A 22,151-nucleotide genomic window follows, 5' to 3' on the forward strand; every position below is an offset into this window, starting at 1 on the left:
CCAGAAAGATCCTTTGCAAAAATAAGCCAGATCATATCAGTCTTCCTTTCTAAAAGCCTTACTGGTTTCCTGCCAAGGACTTTGCTATTTCAGGGTCTTTGCACTTTCTGTTCATTCTGAATGCAGTGTTCTTCCCCTGGATACCCACATCATTCATTCCCTCACTTTTTTAGGTGTTTGCCCATATGCCATTAAACAGGCAGGTGTTCCCTGGCCAGTCTCTCTAGTAATTTTTATTCTCCTAAGCTTGTTCTATTTTCTCCATTACACTTGTCACCATCTGACATATTATGTATTCATCTGTTTATTTGTCATTGTCTGTTTCTCCCTACTAAACTGTGAGCTCCATGAGAGCTGGGATTTTCACTACTGGATTGTGCCAATGACTGCTATAGTACCGGAACATAGTGGTTGCACATTAAAGATTATTGGACAAATTAAGAAACATACATGGATGAATTTGACAACTGTTGCCAACTAGAGGTGGAATTTCATTGATTGCATATGCGAGACAAAATGAAACAATACAAAGTATTGGTAAAACAATCGGTGCTTTCTGACCTTGTGGACCACTTTCCTATTCTTAAGACTTCCTTTTTGTATTTCTTCCACACTATCATTTTATTTTGGTTATCCTTCTCTTTCTTTGATCACTTCTTCACATTTGTTCCTCCAGAACTCCCTACTTCTTCATAGAGTATTAGGTTAAGTAAGAAATAAGAAAATACATGTGCAGCTTCTATCTTGGGTCTGGAACACAGTGGGCGTTGGAAATGTCAGCTCTTTCTCCTTTATATCCTCCAGCATAGGCCCATAATTCCTTTATCAATTTCAATACATTCAAATCTAAGTTTTTCATGCTACACCCCAAACTCCCCTCAAACCTAAAACACTAACATCAAAACCTTAACTCATTATCTTTTATTTTTCTTTATCTCTGTGGAACCATAAAAAAGCTGGACATCTTAGTCTTCTTATTATCAGCTCTTTACTATACCTATGCCTAATATAATGAGAATCACTGACTCTTGGAGGAAGAATTAACAAGACTTTATTAATTTCATCTCTGTTTCCATTACCATAGCCAATTACCAAATCCAGGACCACATTATGGCATACCTGAAATATTCTCAGTTCCCCATTCCCTTCTAATCTCTACTTAGTCTACAGGGCTCCTTAAATGTCACTTCCTCAAGGAGGCTTTCATTGGCCCCTTCAATCTAAATTAGGTCTCACTATGAAACAGATTCTATATATCTTGCATTTTTTCTATGTAGCTCATATCAAAAAATAATTTTATCTTGTTAGTGTGATTCCTTAATATCTGTCTCTTTCTATATTCTGTATGCTTTATGAGGACAGAAGCTGTGTATGTTTTATTTATTGCCCTGCAGAAGCTCAATTCCTAGTGCATTGCTTATCTCATGGTAGGTATGCAATAAAGATTTCCTGAAAAATACATAGGCTTCTTCAAAACTTCCAACTTTTTTGGCCTCCAGAGCTTTATGTATTTCTATTTTCATTCTTCAGTTCATTTTATTGGACAAAATGGAAATGAATAGTCATCTTAACGTGGATTTCTTTCAAACTGTTCATTTCAAATATTATAGCTAATAGTAACATTTATTTAGGACACATTTGGTGCAGGCACCATGCTAAAAGCACTTCACACATCATCTAATTTATAACTCTATGAGGCAGATACTTTTATTATTTCCATTTCACAGATTAGTTAGCTGAGGCAAGTTCATGCAGCTATGAAACGGCAATGCCATAGTTTGAACCTAGGCAGTGTGACAGAGTAGTCCCATGCCTAATTCAGGAAATTCTTTCACCATAAATATAATCTGTTAAAATTTTACAAACTTTGCTTTGTATTTCAATGAGGGCAATAGTTTCTGAAGACATTTTTATGGTCACTTTCTTTAAATATGTCTGCTTGTTAAAATGACACTGGGAAGTCCAAATTCAGCTTCATGACACGTCTCTCCTCTTATGCAAGATATCTTAATATATTGTTTAGACTCCTTTCCCTCTCTGCTTGCCAAAGATGTAGTTTCCTTAATCATGCCCTTTCTGGCAGCTTCAGCTATTCTCTCCCAAACATATGCAAGCATATGCAAGCCTGGATCGTTCTCATATAAACAAAACAATCTTTTCCTCTACTCGATTCCTCTTCTTATCCCTTTCCTACTGACCTTTCTCAAGTTACTGAAAGTGTATTCTGCACACTTTGTTGTTACTTTCTCAGTCTTCATTCATTCCTCAAATTATCACCTCCTGGATTCTACTTCTCATCATTCCATTGAAGCTGCTTCTTGGGTCAGGAAAAGCTAAAATGTGATGGGTCTGAAGGTTATGCTAAGGAGCTTACCTTAGGATTACGGTTACAATGGGGGAATTTTAAGCAAGGGATAAAACAAACAGTCCTACATTTTTAAAAGACTCCTTCATAATAGTTGGAGAATGGATTAGATAAGGAGGACAAAAGAAAGCAGGACAGTTAATATAATGTTTTAGAATTCCAGGAAAGAATACGTAAGCAACACACTGAGGCCTCAGCATTATGTAAAGAATGTAAGAGGAGGGAGATGTAAGAGATAAGAACAATAGTCATTGCTGACTAGCTTGTGAATAGGATGAGTAATAAGATGACATCCAGGCTGAACTGCAGCTTTTTGAGTTAGGTAAGATGGGGTTCATTGAGACAGAGGACTCAGGAGGAAGAGCAGGTTTGGAAGGAATGGGAATCAGTTTAGTTCTAAGTATGATGGCTACTGGGTTCCTTGGTCAGACGATGCAGGTGGAGGTGACCCCAAGATATGGTGACACAAGTCTGAAGTATAGAAAAGATGTCTCGGATGGAGAATAGTTGAGTCATTGTGTAGGAAACGTTTAGATTTATCATAAAGGAAGATTATACAGAGAGAAGGAAGCAGAGAGGTGAATACAGACACCAACATCATGTTCTTTCAATCCTTTTCTACTTTCCCCAACCTGTTCTTCAGCTTCCATCATATGAGACTACACGCTGCTCTCTGAACTCAGTGATTTTCTCAAGGCCCACCTTCCCCTACCTCTTCCATGAGGTTAATATCAGAAGGAAAAAGGAATCATATTAAACATATTTCAAAGTAAAGGATCAAAGCTACAGGACAAGAAATAATTTTGTTTTGTAGAAGTGTAAAAGGGGTATTTTAAGTTTGGTATTAATTAAATAAGGAGTTTAGAACCCAGAATTTTGAATTTAATTAGAAGTTTTCATTTATAAAGATTTAAAAATTGTTTATTATGGCACAAATAATTACTTACGGCATAAAACTTTTTTCTAGAGATTGACCATCCTTATTAGAACCTTGTCTAATTCATTTTTGATTTGTCCTTGAAAAGTTTTGGAAAACTTTGAGAGGTTGAAAATTTGAATATAAAGTAAATGATGCAATTTATGGTACATTTTTGTCACTGAATTATAATTTGAGAGATGAAAGGGATCCCTTTAAAATGCAAATATTGAGGTCTTGGAACAACTGTCTATTTGGAAAAAAATAAAGTTATAACTGTACATGATACTTTAGAGCCAAACAAATTTTAGAGAAATTGAAGTAAAATACAAATATTAAAATCCTAAAACAACTAGATGGGGTAAATACTGATATAATCTTATGGTAGAAAAGGTTAACCTAAGCAAACAAACGGCAAAAATCACAAAATGAGCCTTTGCTAGAGATGATTACACAAATTAAAGCTTCTGTGTGTGTATGTATATGTATATATATACATATATACACACACACAGTTTTATAGTATAATATAAATATAAATACACAGTTTTATATTTATAATACAGTTATTTGTTATAACAGATTTAATCTCTAATTTTCTAAAGAGATAACTGCATTTATAAAAACTGAAAATGCTTGCTTCCCCGAAAACCTCGCCACTATCAGCTACTATTTTGTTTTTTGACAGGGCACAGCATCTGCCTAGAAATGACAACAGGTGGAATGAGTATGGACATTCTGGGGAGAAGGCCAAGGTAGTGGAAAATCCACCAGACATTGAGAAAATCTACCACAGCTGCCCATTAAGATGTTGACACTGATAAGGTCTAAGATGCTGGTAAGATGGTATCTACAATGTCTTGAGGCTTATGTAACATGTAACACCAAGGACATTTCACTCTGGATAACCTCCAAAGTAAGACAACTTAGGAGAGGAACATAAACTTGCACTATTTTTAATAAGATGCCTTATTCCTCTTTGATACTTCAGAAATCTTTATCTACATCCAAGACTTCACAATTCTTTGGTTTAATTCTGACTTTGATTTTTTTTTGATTAATGATCTACAGGCTTTCATGCAACCACAGATTTTTTGTTTGCTCTGTTTTGTTTTTTGTCTAAGTTATCAATATTTAATATACAATCTCTGAAAGATTTGAGGGCTAGAAAAGGTAAAAATGCTTTCATAATCATATTGCACTTCTTTTATTTCAAATATAAATAATATCTTCCTTTAGAAATTTTTACACCTAAGGAAAAGATGCCTAGAGATGGAGATTTTACATTTAATTCAAATTGATTAAGAAGAGAGAGAAAGCTGGGAGAATTCCTATTGAGAGGTGAAGCCAGCTGGACTTCCTGGGTCCAGTGGGACTTGGAGAACTTTTCTTACAAGAGGATTGTAAAATGCACCAATCAGCACTCTGTAACTAGGATTGTAAAATGCATCAATCAGTGCTCTGTAAAAACATACCAATCAGCACTCTGTAAAATGCACAAATCAGTGCTCTGTAAAACGCACGAATCAGCAGGGTCCTAAAAGTAGCCAATCACAGGGAGGATTGAAAAAAGGGCACTCTGATAGGACAAAAACAGAATATGGGAGGGGACAATAAGGGAATAAAAGCTGGCCACCCCAACCAGCAGTGGCAACCTGCTGGGGTCCCTTTCCATGCTGTGGAAGCTTTGTTCTTTCGCTCTTCGGAATAAATCTTGCTGCTGCTCACTCTTTGGGTCCTTGCCACATTTAAGAGCTGTAACACTCACTGCGAAGGTCCACGGCTTCATTCTCGAAGTCAGCGAGACCATGAACCCCTGGGCAGGAACCAATTCCAGACACACTATATCTCCAAATCATATAGTAGTCATAGCCACACATTGGCAAAAAGGCTCGTGAAGGGCTGTAGGTTCTGGCCTTCGCATTCCATTAGTGTTCAGTTTGTTCAGTTCATACTTTTAGTGGCACAAAAATAATTTAACATGAACAACTCAAGAGACGATTTGGGGCTTTTATGCTGTTAAAAGTCCCAAATGTTCATTTTATTTAGAATGATGGCATTGAAGTGCTGGCACGCTTTGTGGTCAGCCACTCCCTTTGCCCTTTCGGAACTCTGTATTGCTGAAATTTTGGAACATTGAGTCTGGACCACTGTTTTTAGCATGAGATACATTTTTTTTTTCTTCATAGGTAGAAGGAATTTTTAAGGGTTCCAGTCTCCAGTTGACTGCTAAAGATGAATTTCAGTGAGGTCTACTTGAGAACACATAAAAGCAAGCTTTTCAGCTGATATTTCAAACAGAAAATGGAGATGTAGGAGTAGAGTGTCATCAAACACAGAAGAATGAATTTCAGTAACTGCAAACTACATTTTAGTGATGATGATTTCAGACAGAATGCCATCCAGTAACACCTCCATTTTTCTCATTATGACTGCTTGGAAACAATACTGTCTTGAGGGTGACAGAAAAAAAGAAGGCGTGGTTACAAAAGGGTTACCTGAGGAATCCTGGTGGTGATGTCACTGTTTTGCATCTTGACTGTGGTGGTGGATACATGAACCTCCATACATGACAAAATTGTACAGAACTAAATACAACACACACATAGAAGTAAAACTGGAAAAACTTGAATAGGATTGGTAGATTGTGTCTGTGTCAGTATGCTGGTTGTGTTATCATACTATAGTTTTGCAACATGCAAAACAGGTGAAACTGGATAAAGGGTACACAAGACCTCTCTGTATTATTTCTTACAACTACATGTGAATCTACATTTCTGTCAAAATGAAAAGTTTAAGGAAAAAAATCAAGAAAGGTAACACATACTCATAATTCTATCTTAGTGTAATTTTTGTTATTACCAGAAAATAATCTCCTGAGACCCAAATAAATGTCCAGGCTTTCCAGAGGCCAAACCAGAGAAAGTTTTTCCAAAACTTTCAAGTGATCACATTGATATTGATGTGCTTATTGATAATTGAGTTGTACTACATGACTAATACAAGATATCTTGGAGTTAATTATGTATTAAAATAATTTTTAAGTGACTATAAGAAAACTAGGAATTTCATCTTAATATCTCCTGATACATTTAATGTATATAAAAATTTCCATGACATGCATGCTTGCCAGTGTTCTAAAAAGTATAAAATATGCAAATAAAAAAGGTTATTTTATAATTTAAATGCAGTTTTCACCATGGACAGATGTTTTTAAAACTTTCATTATAATTCTAAAACCAAATTAGTGATACATTTAAGCAGTAAATAAACATTTTAACTATATTTGTATATTTAACCAGTAAAGTAGGCATACTTATATAGTTGGCATAATTTTTACCTTGATGGTAGGAATAGGCCTTTTGGGGATAAAACAGTTTCTCTTAAGTGGTGAAAAAGCTACATTTTGTTCTTTCAGTCTAATCTTGTTTTCTGCTATGATTTTCTTGCGCTGTTCCAGATAAGGTCCAAAACTTGGCAGTTTCTAAAAGGAAAACACACAAATAAGGAAGCATGTTAGCTCAGAGAAGAGAAAAATGGGAAGATATAAACATATAAATATTATCAACAAACAAATGTGTGTCTAGGGATTGTTTCATGTATACTGTAACTAGGTCTTCACTCATTGTTTTGGACCACTAGTCTTCTCGGTATCAGGTTCCGTTAATTATTAAAAAGAACACAACAGTACAATACTTTTACCAAATATGTATGTATTACATATACAAATGTTAATTAAAATACATTTCTAAATGGAAGAAAGTTCACAATGGCAAACCAAACCCATTCACATAAAACAACAGCTATTAGTTAAACCATTTGTTTGGTTTGTATAGACAGAAGGTGAAACCTATTGATGCTTTTTTCCCCTTCATCAGGTTTTTAGCATGATATAGACACAGTTGTAGTCCCTGACAAATGCTTTTGTCAATAGCAAAGGTACTTCGCCAAAGTTCTCATCTGTATCTCTATTTTATTGTGTTCAAATTCTTACTACATCTCTTTAAAGATTGTAACTAATGTTGATTGCAACTTACTGGAATAGCTGAAAAACAAAAATGGTAAAAATATTGATTTCTCTGTACAGAAAACAAATTTTATTTTGCATGGAGGCAAAAATAGAAATGAAAAGGAGAGGAAATATTACAGTGCTTAAACAAACTCCATCAGTATTCAAAATCACATCACGGAGCTTTAAATTTCAAGGTTATCCAATTGTACTTTACAAAGTTCATTTAGAAAGATACCTGGGCGTCATGGAAAAATGCTAAGTGGTTTCAAGTTAACACGAAAATGCCCTCATACCATTCATTATCCCACAATTATTTTCTCTTCACTTTGTCCTTCCCCTCTTCTAGAAACTTTGATCTTCACTTTTACTGACACATACTGCTGGTGATAGACATCACTGAATTCCAAATGTTTTGTGTCGGCCTGTAACCTGGAATTGGTAGGTCTCTTTCATAAGACTGCAAAAATACCCTCTCTCTCCTGCAGAATAAAGTCCATTTATCTAGCTGATGGAGGTTTGGAAAACTACAGCACTCGAAGGTCATCCTGATCTCTGACCTAGCAAGTATTTTGGTGAAAAATCACACTTGTTTCAAAACACTGGCCTCCACATTTCAGCTTGCATAACGCCCCAGGAAAATGAGTTCTCTGGTCCTCTAGAGACCTCAGTAGAGTAGGTAAGCTAAACTTAAACCATGTTCCAATTAAGCCGAACTGCAAACTGCAACTGTAATTCATGTTAGCAAAGAACATACTTATGTAGAAATATCTAAGATTGTTACTTCCATTATCAATTCATTATAATTATGTCAACAAGTCAAGTAAATGGAAACAATGTTATGAATGCCAAACTAATTTATATACAATGAGACTAGAACTGAGTACTTCATCTCTACACCTTAATGCTTTCTTAATTTGTAATATTTAATTGTTGCAGTAATATGAAATGATAGGATGGAGGGAGATAGTATTTTGTATCCATTTTGCTATAAAACAAGTGATACTGACTTGCTAAAAGCATAAAATAAATAAGAGTATAAAACAAGTCCTTATCACATATATAAGCATCCTTAAAAGACAATGCTTTTATGAAATGGCTTTTTCTTGGGGCATATGAGGTATATGAGGTGTTAGGGATTACACTTGGTGCCAAAAAAATGCCTTTGGGGTCAGATAACACCACATAAGGTGGCGAGCACACGTCCACATGATATAAATCTTCAGAATGTCACCCCCTGCGTGCTTCTCTTATACCTCAGGGGCATCTCAATCCTAATCTAATATACTCAAAGACTATCAAGAACGGTTAAGTGTTGAAACATATGACCTCTGGTTCTAGCAGATGCCTCAGGTTAGCAGGCTCCATGAAAATCGGAACCATTATTTTCCCTGTTGGGGTTTACATGGTTCTCTGTTTGGACTTTACCTTACTCAACATCATCTAATTTCACCTAAGAGTTTTGTAAAGGCCATTCAAAAGAAATCATTCTTGCAACCTTTTAATCTATCTTCCTTTAAATGTACATCAGAGGATAGTATATTTTTTCATTTAGATTATTATTTATCCAAATGCAGACAATGAATGTAGTTAAATTTAAACCATAATGATTTCAAATTATTTCAACAATGGTAATAAGAACAATAAATTTTTGAAAATCTTTTGATGCTGAATATAATACAGCCTGTGTAAATATCCAACAGCCTGATATTTTCTGTCATTTTTTGCAATGATTGACCACATTTGCCATACATAAATTATGTTACACAGCCTTCCCCTGGCTAACATGCTAAGTTTCTAATGTGCTAATTGGTTTTATAATTAGTCCTAAAGAGAGAATCTCAATTTAACATAAAGATTCCTACAGGATTTTCTTTGTGCATTGGTTAGAAGAATTAATGGACTAAAAGGAAAACTTGCCAATTTTTTTTAATTGAAAGCAAAAAAAAAAATACCAAATATCAGTGACTGCTCCTTCCACCTTCCACCAAGCATCTCCACATCAAATTGGGTTCATTTTTGTTTAATTCCTCACTGCTACATGGAGCTCTCAGAGACTAAGGTATAGTACCAGCTTCCAAAACTTCAAGGCTGCTGTAGACATTTTGCTTTCCTTATTAGTTTGAAAATTTAAGTGCTTTAAAAAATATGTTGTATATATTAAAGTGGTCCTAAGGCTATTTAAGTACTGAACATTTTAAAAGTAAAGTTTTCCGAAAACAAAAAAACATCAATTCTCTCCCGCAACAAAGGATCAACCGATCACCTTTACACATACTACATTTAGGCATACATTTGTGTTTTGATCTTGCAAAAAAAAAAAAAAAAAAAAAAAGGAAGAAGGATAAAGCAAGCAAGCAAGCAAAACAAAGCTAAGAAAGAGTGAAGATGAATGCATAGTTGGCCACTGTGTGTGTGTGCAATCAGTGATGATTAATAAAGCATTTAGTTCAAATCTCTGCCTGAACATATAGTTAATTGATTTCCTATTGCAGGAGGAGAAGCAGCAGGACCTGACAGTGCCAGCAGCAGGAGCTTTTCCTCTTCATTCATTATTTTCTTACAGAAAAGTTGTAGCCTGCGGTAACTCAAAGTGAGAGGTTTTGAGCGTCATGCTATATTTCTTAAACAAAGGAAAAAGTTCTTTAGGACTATCAAAAGCTGCTTTGTAACTGATGAACTGAACAAAGCTCAGAAATGGTGTGAGTTTTGTTTCAATAGTTTCTCCAGGGATTCATCATTGATGAATTTGTTCTCACCAGAAAGGCTAAATCCTACTCATTTAAAGATAACAGTATCTTACACTAAAACTGTCTCTATCCAGATATAAAAAAAGCATTACATTGCCGATAGAAAAGTGACAACATAATGAATCAACAATGATACCTTAAGCCAGCAAAGCTTTAAGGTAAAGAAGTCTATTTGGATTATAATTTATTCATGGATCAATCTAAAGTTAATTGAGCATATTATGAAGTAGAAAAGCGTTCTTGTTTGTAATAGAAGCAAGCACTTGTATCTTCCAGTTTAAACTGCATAATTTTTATGAGAATGGCAGCAAGTTGCCTAATAGCACTAGTCTGTAGTACTGTAATGGATCAACTTTATTTTCTTAATCACACTCTCTTATCTAATTGGAAACCATAACAAGAAGACAAGTAATTACTTTGATATCTAAATTGTAATATGTGAAAGATGAAAATATTTCCGGCTTATATCAGAATATATCACTCAGTATCATATATATATATATATATATATATGTATATATGTATCTTATTCAGTATAAACCTGAAATCTATTATCTATCTATCTATCTATCTATCTATCTATCTATCTCCTTTATACCTATTTCGTGTGTGTGTGTGTGTGTGTCTATACAACTGACAGACTAAAGGATAAGTTACATGTAAAGGATATCTAAAAGTTGACTTTTTTTTCCCAAAAGACATGTTTGCATATGACATAGCTCTATTATTTATCAGTCTTTTGACATTTATTCAACAAATACAGTATTGAATATCCACTCTGGGCCAGGAACTGTCCTGTGCTACACTAAAGGCTAAACAATTTCCAGACAGTGTAGTACAAATTATCATTGTTATTAATTTTGTAAGTATCTTTTGCTATTCATTAAGGGCTAGTGTCAGATTGAATTATATGTCAAATATACCTGGTTGTTGCAGTTATCTCAAGGAATAATATGCCAGACTCCTTGGAAAACTGTTTGAACTCAATAAAATGACCAATAATTGCAGAGAAAAATGAAGAAAATAAATGTTCAAAGAGTTGATCTTTAAAAACCTCAAAAAGCTAATTGAAGTAGTTCTTGGATACCTAAAATAAAAAATATGGGAGCAGTGTGGTATAATGGTTGAGAGCATGGGTTCTCTGAGTCTGTTTCATTATCTATAAAATGGCCATTGTGAGGTTTAAATAAAGTAATCCAGGTAAAGTTCCTAACTCACCCTAATTTCAATCTCTGCTCAGCATGATTCAAGGTAGCACAGGAGATAGAGATGAGAAGTATCTTTTCTGTTCTGTAGTTTCTGAATTCAGTTACTTTTCTTCTTTCCTCTTTTCAATTATGAAAGTAATCAGTTACTTACATTTGATGCTGATTTTTATTTCAAAATCAGTTTTAGCATGGTTTAGAATCAGAAGCTCAGATTTTCCCATATGTAAGTGGCATGTAATGCTTAATCACCGATATAACAGTAAGCAATGTTTCATGATATTATCAAATTTGGACAGTGGAACACAATAAAAAGACAGAGACAGAAAGTCCATCTACATATTACACGTTACCATAGTGCTATGTGATGGCTAATGATGCAAATCAGTACACTGGCATTGGACATGTAAAATATATGAAATATGAGTATTAGTTTAACCTGATAAATGTAAGCTACAACTTTTGATCAAATATGTGATATCTAAATTGGTCAAAAGCAGAGATAGTTCATGTTTCATAGTGAAAGTAGAAAGTCAACATTCACATAGTGATGAGGGAAATAATTTAGAAGTCAAATTTGCATTAAAATCAGTTTTGCACTCATTAGCTGTGTGACTATGAGCCAATTACTTTACTATTCTGCTACTAATTTTCCTTATCAATGAAATGAGAATGACAGTATCAAACTCACGATGTTGGTATAAGCATTAAATGGAATAATATTTGCAAAATGCATGCCTGCCAATTTATTCCCATAAGCCTTAACTGCTTCTATTGCATTGTGTACTGTGCTCTGTGTTTCCATGTTTGCTCATGCATCCCCTCTGCCAGAATACCCCATCTTGTCTTTTTCACCTGGTACATGCCAATTAGGCTATTTAGTTTCAGCTCAGTCTTCATAACACCTAAGTAATCTCCTTTACCGATTACCCTCCCTGCCCAGTGGTTTAGAATATCCTGGGCATATTTTAATCTCTGTGCCTACTGCACTGCCTTATCATCATTAGCTTATGTGTCCATCTGCCCAGCTTGAGATCCTAGACAGGTAACTTTGATCCAGCACATAATAGGTGCTGAATATAATTTTTCAAAGCTTAATGAATGAATGAATAAATGAATGAATGAATATCTTGAATATATTTACAAAATCTTTCTGGTTGTTTGAATTGTCAAACAATCCCAAACAATTACTTTCAGAAACAAATTAAAGTATATAAATAGGTTTTCAAATATGACATGAAGTAAAAAATCGTACTTACAGAAAAGCTGTGATTCATACATTCAGAAAACATTTATAAGGAGCCAGACACTTGAAATTTATATAGAAAGGATAGTGTGTGACCTTAAAGAGACTATATTAATAACAATTGCAATACCCTGTGGGCTGTGGCAGAAGTGACACAAACTGTTATATGAGCAGTGACAATGTGTATCTAACGCAGGCTGAGGGGTCAGAGATTTTCTAGAAGAGGTGTCATCCGAGCTAAACTCTGAAGGATAAGGTGAAGGTAGGATGGCAAGTGGTGCAGTGGAGGCGTGAGGTCAGGAAAGGTGAAGAGAATCCTCCAGGTGGAATAAACAGCAGAGGGAGAAGGGTGACAATTTGGAAAAGGCACCGGGGAGCCAATGGACTGCTAACCCTCTGTTCCATCGTTCATAAGCTACAAGAGGGTGAGGCACTTCACCTGTGAAAAGCAGGCAGAACACATTTTGTTGTGAAGTGATGAAGTCGGATCATGAATTAGGAATAATGTCAATCAAGAGAAGAAAGTCTAACATTCATGGAATGCCAGCAAAGGATGATGGAAATAAGACTTGCTTTCTGCTAAGTGCTGTGCAGGTGCTGGGGCCCAGGCCACAAAGAGGACCAGGAGGCTGTTCCTTCCAAAAGCAGTTTATAGCCTTATGAAGAGGATTGAGTCATATTCAAAGGAACTCAGATAAGAACATTATTATTTTCATATTGAAACAATTTAAATAACTCATATCAGGTCTCTCTTTAAAAACTGTCATTTTTTAAAGTAAGTATTTTTGAAGAAATACCTCTAGGTTGGGATTTAGGAAATGTGGTATTGATGGCATGTTTTAGGAGAAACCAGAACAAAGAGATGGTCCAAGCATTATGCATGGAGAAATGTAGAATTTTGAAGGAGAGGGGGAATAGAAAAGAGAGGAGAGGGTAAAAGGAAGTGTGAAAAGAGAGGGCAAGAGAGAAGGAGCACAGCCTGTTGGTATGAGGCTGAAGGACTTTTATAAACAGGGAGAGCCACTATTTAATTTTAAGATGTTTGCATTGCTCCAATCTAAATCCTCCTCCATAGTCTTTATCTAAGAACATCTGCTACACACTTACATGTCTTGGTGAGACATTTGGAGGAAAATCAGGGAAACAGGGTTGAGTTTCATGGTTGGGTTGGCATATAGCTGAAAAGAATAGAAACCAACAGGAGGGAGGTTTGAGGGAGATTCAGAATTCAATGACAGCTGGAATTTATAGCCAGAAGCAACCTAGAGAACAGAATCTCTGGGGATTTGGTAGCAATTTCCAGAAGGACAGGACTGGGTAAAGTCAGCTGACATGTGGCTTACATACGTCATTGTAAGGAGAAATAAGTAGAGGACGACATGCACAAACAATCTGATGTAACCCAGATCCAATGAGCAATTAATTCCAACTCAGAGGTTAATACAATCTTTACAGTGAAGGAGGAATTTAAACTATGCTGAAAAATTCTGAAAGGGGAAAGCAGTGCCTAGTTGTAGGAGGAGAAGAGAAGTAAGGAAATGAAGTGAAGGAACTACAGGATGAGCTTATCCTTATATGGCTAAAATATACTAAATGTCAGGGAGATAGTGGGGGATGAAGCTGGAATATCTATAGATAGGGCTCTGAATTCTGGGCAAAGTGTTTGGATTTTATTCTTTAGGGTGTATGGGAACACCAGATATTTGAAAATGTGTGACCAGATCCTCATAGTGGCAGAAGGAAGGGTGGACTGTAGGATGATGGCGGTAGCAAAAAGGGAGAATCATCCAGAATGTTGGAGATGGGATTCTGGTAGTGGTAGGAAAGTGAACTAGATGAGTTCTAAGGTCATCATTATTTTCAAAGCTGTTATAGTAGAAAATTAAAAAAGGGTTCTATGGTGTAACGGTTAATTTTATGTATCATCTTGACTGGGTTAAGAGATGATGCCCAGGGAGCTGGTAAAACATTATTTGTGGGTGTGTTTGTCAGAGTGTTTCCAGAAGCAGTTAGCATTTGGATCAGTAGACCAAGTAAAGAAAATACGCCCTGAGTAAAGAGAATGTGGGCGGGCATCCCCCAATTGGTTGATGGACTGCATAGAACAGAAAGGTGGAGGAAAGGCAAATTATTCTTTCTTCTGGAGTGAGAGCTAGGACATCCATCTTCGCATGCTCTTGGATATCAGAGCTCTAGGTTCTTGGGCCTTTGGACTGTAGGCCTTATAGCACTCGCCCAGCCATCTCCTCCACCATCTGCTGCCCCCCTCATCTCCCAGTCCTGAGGCCTGCAGATTCAGGCATAGAGTTAAGTATGCCATTGGCTCCCCCAGTTTTTAGGCCTTCAGAGTCAGGCTGAATTACACTACAAGCTTTCCTTGTTCTCCAGCTTGCAGATGGCACGTCATGGGACTTCCTGGCCTCTATAACAACGTGAGCCAATTCCCATATTAAATTCCCTTTTACATACCTATATATAACCAATGGGTTACATACAGATATAACCTATAACCTGTTGGCTATAATAATATAACCAATTGGCTGCATATAGATATATGAGGGAATTGAATATATAACCTATTAGTTATGTATGGATATATAAGAGGGAATCTAATATGTTAAATTGGCTCTGTTTCTCTGGAGAACTCTAATACACGTAGTATTCGGGAAACAGAGAACCAACACTGACTACCTGTCCCCACACCAAGGCTCCAATATTGATCTTCACTCCCACACTGCCTGCTGACTGCCTCACCCTGACTCACAATGGCTTCTGCCTTGAAACTCCTGCATGCTGTCATTCTTCCTGACAGACTTCTATTTCCACCTCTTTGTTGGTCATCTTTCTGCAGATGACCCCTCCTTTATCACCATCCCCTGCTCAATCAGATTCTTGACTTTTAAAATTACATAGGAACTTTGTTAACTGGGGCCTGCATAGTCTATGAGCTGCCAAAGACTTACTTCTTAGTCAAAAGGAACATAAAGCAATGTTGGTGGACAACCTGGGAAGGGTAAAATGACTTAGTTTTACTTTCCTTGCATTCTAAAGGACCTTTGCTTATATTTTGTAGAGATGATGAGGTAGGGGAGGTGACATGGGGAAAATCAATTTCCTCAAAAATGGCTGAGAGGGGATTATAAATTTAACAAGGGAGAGGGAAGGAACTGCACCATCATCATCACCTTCACGAATATATCAGCTTATTAACTGATCATGGCTATATACCAGACACTTTGCAAAGCACATGAGTACATTATCTCTTCCTTATTGCAAAGAAGATAAAGAATATCCATGAGTTGGGTATTCTAGTGTCCATTTATACACAACAACACTGAGGGGCATAAAGACTAAGTAACTTGCTACAATTAATTCAAATCCAAGTCTGCCTGATAGACTCTGTGCTATCCTGCCACTCATACTTCTTTGTAGTCCTCACAAAGTTTTGTATAAGGTAGGTGTTTAATATGCTCTTTATTTATTTAAAGAAGCATACTACCTACATACTCCATTCCTTGAAATCTATGCTTCCTGTTTTACTTATTCCACAAATTTTGAAGGGAAAATGTTTCACACAGTAGAAACCATTAAAAAAAATGCTGAACACATACCAAGCAAAATATCTGAATTAGTTTGGTCCTGTTTATTACTGGCCTCAAGTTTAATGAGCTCAAGTTAATACAGGTGAAAGGCCAGGGTGTTACATGCAGAAGTTAATGAAATACCATAGAGCTGCTGAGAAAACGATTAGCAGCCAAATGTGAATTTAATATACTTCATCTTCAAGAAGCAATGCCCCATGGGAGGCATCTTGCTGGGGGAGGTAATGTGGCATATTGGAAACAGCACTCACTTGGGAATTAGGAGATGGGGCTCTGATCTTCACTTTGCTGTCAGCTGGTTTTGTGACCTATGGCAGCCTGATGACTCCCTCTGTGTCTCAGTTTTCTCACCGGTAACATGAGGGGGTTTGACTACATGATCTATGAGGTCCCTCCCAGTGATATGATCTGTTTTGTTTTCAAATTCACAATTAGAATTCCTTAGGGTTTATGCCTAGGTGGCATCACATTGTCTGTGAATGAAACATCAGATTGAGTCATAAATTATAACTCTTTCCATCCTACTTAACTATAGAACATTCTGAGTCTATTAGGCTATAACATATGGATATCATGGATCATGTTTATCAAACTTCCAAGGTTGGATGGGTTCATAAACTGTTTTAGACTTCATTAGTAAAAGGTAAAACTAAAGATATTGTAGCTATTTTACCTCATTACTAAATAATGAAATCTGTATAGAAAATTAATAGAACTAAAAATATTTTTTTAATGAAAGCTATTATAAATCTGTATGAATTGGGAAATTCATACAGTTCATAACTAACATTACACTGTAATTATCTTGACAAAGTTTGATGTCTAGTTACAAACTCATCTGAGACACACTCTATAGAAAATCAACCACAAATATTAGAAGTGAATATAAATGATAACAGGCATGAAATTACTAAAGAGGTAAGAATAAAATATAGATACACATGTGGATGCATTTGGTACATATTAGAGTTTTAGGATTTGGGAGAAAAAATAGAACCTTCTACTAAAGCAATGCAATATGCAGAATGATCATTGATCTTAGAACGCAGAAACTAGCTGAATGACCTGGGGCAAGCCACTTGCCCTCTGTAAGCCTCAATTTTCATCTGTATAAAACAGAAATAACAATGATCACCTTGCCCATTTGTTCTTCACCACAACTATTTAAAATAGGAAAAGCATTAATAGATGATTAAAATACAGACAGCTGTTACTATTTTGAAAACTCTAAAGCATTATAGAACCAAAGTATTATTACATTGTGCATAAATCTCATTTATGCACAATATAATAAATAATGTAAAGATGTGAGTGCTCTGAATTATAAAAATGTCACAGAGTATTAACAATACATAAAGAAAGATTTTCTCAGCAACAGTCCTTCCAGTGCCTTAGGAGTACTTGGATGAAATAATTTGCTTTTGAAACCCACCTTCAAAATGCTACTGCTTTCATGGCTAAATGTTGCATAGAATGTCAAGGGCAAAAACCAATGAGGGAAAATGGAATAAAAATTGCCTTACACAATGGAATGGAAGCAAAGGAAAACAGAAAAATGAGGTGATGAGGAAAATGGGACTGCTATAAATATGGAGTAAAAAAGCATACAGGATTCAGGCTATATTTGGAGCAAGACTAGGTTAATCAATTTTCTTCCATATTTATGCAATATGATACCTAATATCCTCCTATGCAGAAACACCTGTTTTAATCCCTTTTACAGCACAGGACATAAAATATTACATTTTGATCCATCTAAAACCCTATTTAGAGTTACAGTTCAGAGCATACTGGAATGAAATGATCATCATTTTGAAAGTCAATTTTTAGTAGTTCTATGCTAAGCAGCAGATTTATATTGGAAAGAAAATAAAAGGAAGTATAAGTTTTTTAATATAAAAAATATCTTTCTAATATAATTAATTAGCATACATGTATGAAATATTAAACATGGGAAAATATATTTTATACATTTGGCAGAGTGCTCCACAAATAATAGCTTCTCCATGCAGCTACAGAATACAGTAACAAACATCCATAAATCAGAATTCATCTCAAATCTAGGTCTCCCAACTCCAAGCCTAGTGCCACTCCCTCTACATTGGCCATGAACTTCCTGAAGTTTTTGGGCTACTGTTTTGCCCAACAATACTTAAAGTTTTTGGTGTTTTAGGAAAAGATACTGAGGGAAGGACCTAATAAACTACATCCTTGGGAAAGACTCCTTCTTTCAGATGTATTTGTTGAGTATTTACAATTTGTCTAGTACATGCTATGCGCTGACCATTGAAGACATAATGGAGAATAAAACAGATATGATCTCCTTCCTCAGGGAATATGTAATCACTTTTAGTGCAATAGAATTAAACATAAACAATCCCACTCACCTGCACTTTCACCCTCTGTCTTCTCTTCCACTACTAAGAGAGGTATCCTATGTCCTTTAAAAGACTCCACTCATGGACTCCACCTCACGTACCCTGTGATCATCTGAAGGAATTTGCTTCTGTCATTTTTATCTTTGACTATTCAACAATTCACCCTCATTTTTACATTATTTTCATTAGCACACAGATATACTTTAGCGTCTGTCATCCTAAAAACAAATATGCTAAGCATAACAAAACAATTTCTGTGACCCTACAGCCACTTTCAGGCATCATTAATTTACTTCCCTTCAAACTTCTTTTAAGCATTTTTAATAGTGTCTGTCTTCACACCTTCACCTCCTATTCACTCCTCAACATATCCTTTTCAGGAATTTGTCCTCCATTCCAAACAATTGAAATGCTTCCATAATGAAGCTAACAACAATCTTTATTGTGCAAATCCTGTGGCCACATTTTTGTTTGTGCTCATCTAACTTTATCTCTCAGCATCATTAAACTTAGTTGACCCTTCTTTCTTTCTTAAAACACTATCCTATGGCTGGGCACAGTGATTTATTCCTGTAATCCCAGCACTTCATAGGCTGAGGCGGGAGGATAACTTGAGCCTAGGGGTTTGAGACCAGCCTGGGCAACATAGAGAGACCCCATCTCTATTTAAAAAAAATAAACAAAACCCCCACTATTCTGTTTTTCATCCTACGTCACTTCTAAGTGTCTCCTTTGCTGGGTAGTACATACACCCCAAATCTCTCTACTTTTCACCATTTCCATTGATATGGCTCTAGTCCAAGGCTCAATTGCCTCATCCTTGGGCTACTGCAATAGCCTCCTAACCAATCTACCTGCTTTCTCTTTTGACTTGGTATAACGTATCCTCCTTATAGTAGCCTGAGAAGTTGTCTTAAATAGAAACTATGACAGATGATTCCTCTGCTTAAAATCCTTCAATGATTTCATTGCTCTTAGAATAAAATTGGAAAACATCACCATGACTGTAGGTTTATCTGGCCCCTGCCCACCTCTTCAATATATTTTAACCACTGTCCCCTTTATTCACTACACTCCAGCCATATTGTTCTTGCTATTCTTGACAAGTCTTATAAGATCATATGACCTTAGGGCCTTTACATTTACTGGGTTTTTTTTTTTGGTCTGCATCCAGATCTTTGCATAGTTGGATCCTTCACATGTTTTAGGACTCAGATAAAATGTCACCTCCTCAGAGAGGCACTCTCGGACCACCCAATCTAGAGTAGGCCTTTCAAATCACACTCTTCACATCTCCTTTTTAAAAATATTCACATCGTTTATTTGCTTACTTTTAAAAATCTCCAACCCCTCTAAAAGGTACTAGATTAAAATGTTCACTAATCTTATTTACTAATTTCCAGAACCTTGAGCAATGCCTGGCTCATTGCACACTCTTGAATGAATGAAGGTACTGGGTAATTGTACATTTATACACAGTACAGTCTTGAACTTAGCTTGGCTTCCAATTCTGGCTCCATTTTTACTAGGTTTTTGACTTAGTCGTGTTTTACTTAACTTTTGTAAGATCTCAGTTTCCTCACTCATAAAATGGGAATAATATTTTATAAGGTTGTAAAGATTATATAATTTATATAAATTGTATAGAGTGAAGCCAGAGCTTCATACACAATAGGCACTTAATAGGCCTCTTTGCCATCATTATAGAAATTCTTATCATCAACATTATTTTTATTATAGAAATTCTAGCAATGTCTCATAGCTTTTTATTAACTTTGTGAATTACTTATGTACACAGTGACACTATATTAATGTATTTATTTTTTAAAAATGTGCTTTTAAAATATTTTGCCTTGTGCTTAATATTACGATATAGTAAACATTTCCCATCCCTTCAGCAAACCATTTCTCCAGCATTTATAAGGGAAGTCAATGGATTAAGCATGTTGTACGTGATGGAGAACTGCTTATTTCACATTTAGACTGCATACACTGTATAAAGTCAGGATTGCTCATACAGTTATGTAATTTTGTGCTCCACATGTTTAAATAAGTAAAATTAAGAAAATGAAGATTTGATAGTTGACAAGTAAATGTAAACACTAGTGCTTAAAGAATGAAAGCAAGACCATTCTGTAGCCTAAACTAGATGCTGTCATCTGTGGGGGTTAGGGAAGATGCTAAGATCTGAGCCTGCTACCATGCTACTTCACGAACATCTGGCAGTGTGTCACTTCACAGGCAACAACATCTTCTCTAAACAGAAGAGACTTGAATTCATCAGGGATTCCTGTAGTACAGTATATGCTTAAGTTAAGTACCTGCTTTCCCGTGATTTCCATAGATTATCATATTCATGACACTGTGGAGTGAAAGCATTCTTCTCACTCTCTAACTAGAACATGAAAAAGAAATTAAAACATTGGCAGGCACTTTGTCTCCAGTTTGTTGGACAAGTAAGAAAAGGACTTTCCATCCATTAATGTAAATGAAATTCGGTCAACTTAGAGCATTTAAACAAAGATGACATCAGCCTGTCTATTAATAAATTCTTGACAGGATAACAATTACATTTGTAGTTGACTGTTTTTCTTTCAATAAATGTAGGTCAGTGGGTATTTTTAAGGAATGTATTTAAAATAAATTCGCAAACCCCAATAACTTTTCTCCTCATCTCTGTTAACCCAGAAAGTAACTTTAACATGCACATTCTTGCTTCTTAAGAGTGGTTTTCAGAACATTGTGGTCAAAGCCTTTTTAACACATGTGACTGTGTAATTAAATATGTGTGTGCCTACTGTGCATATACACACATATACATACAATGCATATCCATAATACATATATGGTATCTATATTCTACCCCAATATTTTGAACTGAATCCTATAGAAAGATTTAAAGCTACAGCGGGCTCTCTGTTATCTAGGGATGGTTTTTCCATTTAGGGATAATCTGGGCCCTTGTGTTACTGCTTCTTTCTGACTTGTGCATTTCTTTCATTATTGACTATCAGAAAGGAAAGGTAAGAAAAGGTAATAAATTGATCTAGCTGGTTAGTCCTCTAGCCTTAGGAATCCATTTCGTAGAGGAAGAAGAAGTGAATTTAATGAATAAATTGAGTTTGGGGGGATTATGTGTGGAATTCACTAATCTACCTGGCCCAATACCCCATTAGTTAGATTTGAGAAAGTAAGTTTCTAAACAGAATCAGGATGAGATTTTCAATTTCATTTTGTGGAACGTCTTTCCAAGACAATGTGTTTTCTTTGTCTAGGGGAGTTTTGGAGATGGTATATGTTGATATATTTGAATATCAGTTATAAGTACTACCAAAACAGTGAATAATTTTACCTTCATTTATTACAAATTAAAAGCACAGCTCTATATTTCATCACATTTAAGATGCTATCATACATTGTTTATTAATACAATAAACAAGAAAATATAAGGAAAATATGTTGTTTAAAATATTACTAAAACTTTTTCACATTCAGCATCTGGTAACTTGACGATATAATCAATTGTAAGACAAACTGATTCAGAGGTATTAAAAATGAAAAAATGCATGTCTTAGATTTGGTAAAATGCATTGTGTTTTCTAAATACTTACTGGCTCAGTTCTAAGTCTCCTTCTCATCATTGTTAGTAGCCATAATACAGTAATGGCATCTCATTACTC

At 35.6% G+C, this 22,151-nt stretch overlaps 1 protein-coding gene and 1 long non-coding RNA gene across 6 annotated transcripts in view; one reads left to right on the plus strand and one right to left on the minus strand.

Annotated features, from left to right (window-relative positions):
* Positions 1-22,151, minus strand: part of DPYD (dihydropyrimidine dehydrogenase) — an 843,317-nt gene that overhangs the window by 14,125 nt on the left and 807,041 nt on the right. For all 5 annotated transcript variants that reach the window (XM_047448077.1, XM_017000507.2, XM_005270562.3 and 2 more), the window contains one exon: positions 6,622-6,765. In XM_047448077.1, coding sequence (XP_047304033.1) covers positions 6,622-6,765 — 144 coding nt within the window. The remainder of the gene's footprint in view (positions 1-6,621; positions 6,766-22,151) is intronic.
* Positions 4,056-22,151, plus strand: part of DPYD-AS1 (DPYD antisense RNA 1) — a 227,033-nt gene continuing 208,937 nt past the window's right edge. The window contains exon 1 of the long non-coding RNA NR_046590.1: positions 4,056-4,119. This is a non-coding gene — a long non-coding RNA (DPYD antisense RNA 1). The remainder of the gene's footprint in view (positions 4,120-22,151) is intronic.

This window comes from Homo sapiens, chromosome 1 (assembly GCF_000001405.40).
Source record: "Homo sapiens chromosome 1, GRCh38.p14 Primary Assembly".
In the NCBI taxonomy this organism is placed as follows: Eukaryota; Metazoa; Chordata; class Mammalia; order Primates; family Hominidae; genus Homo; species Homo sapiens.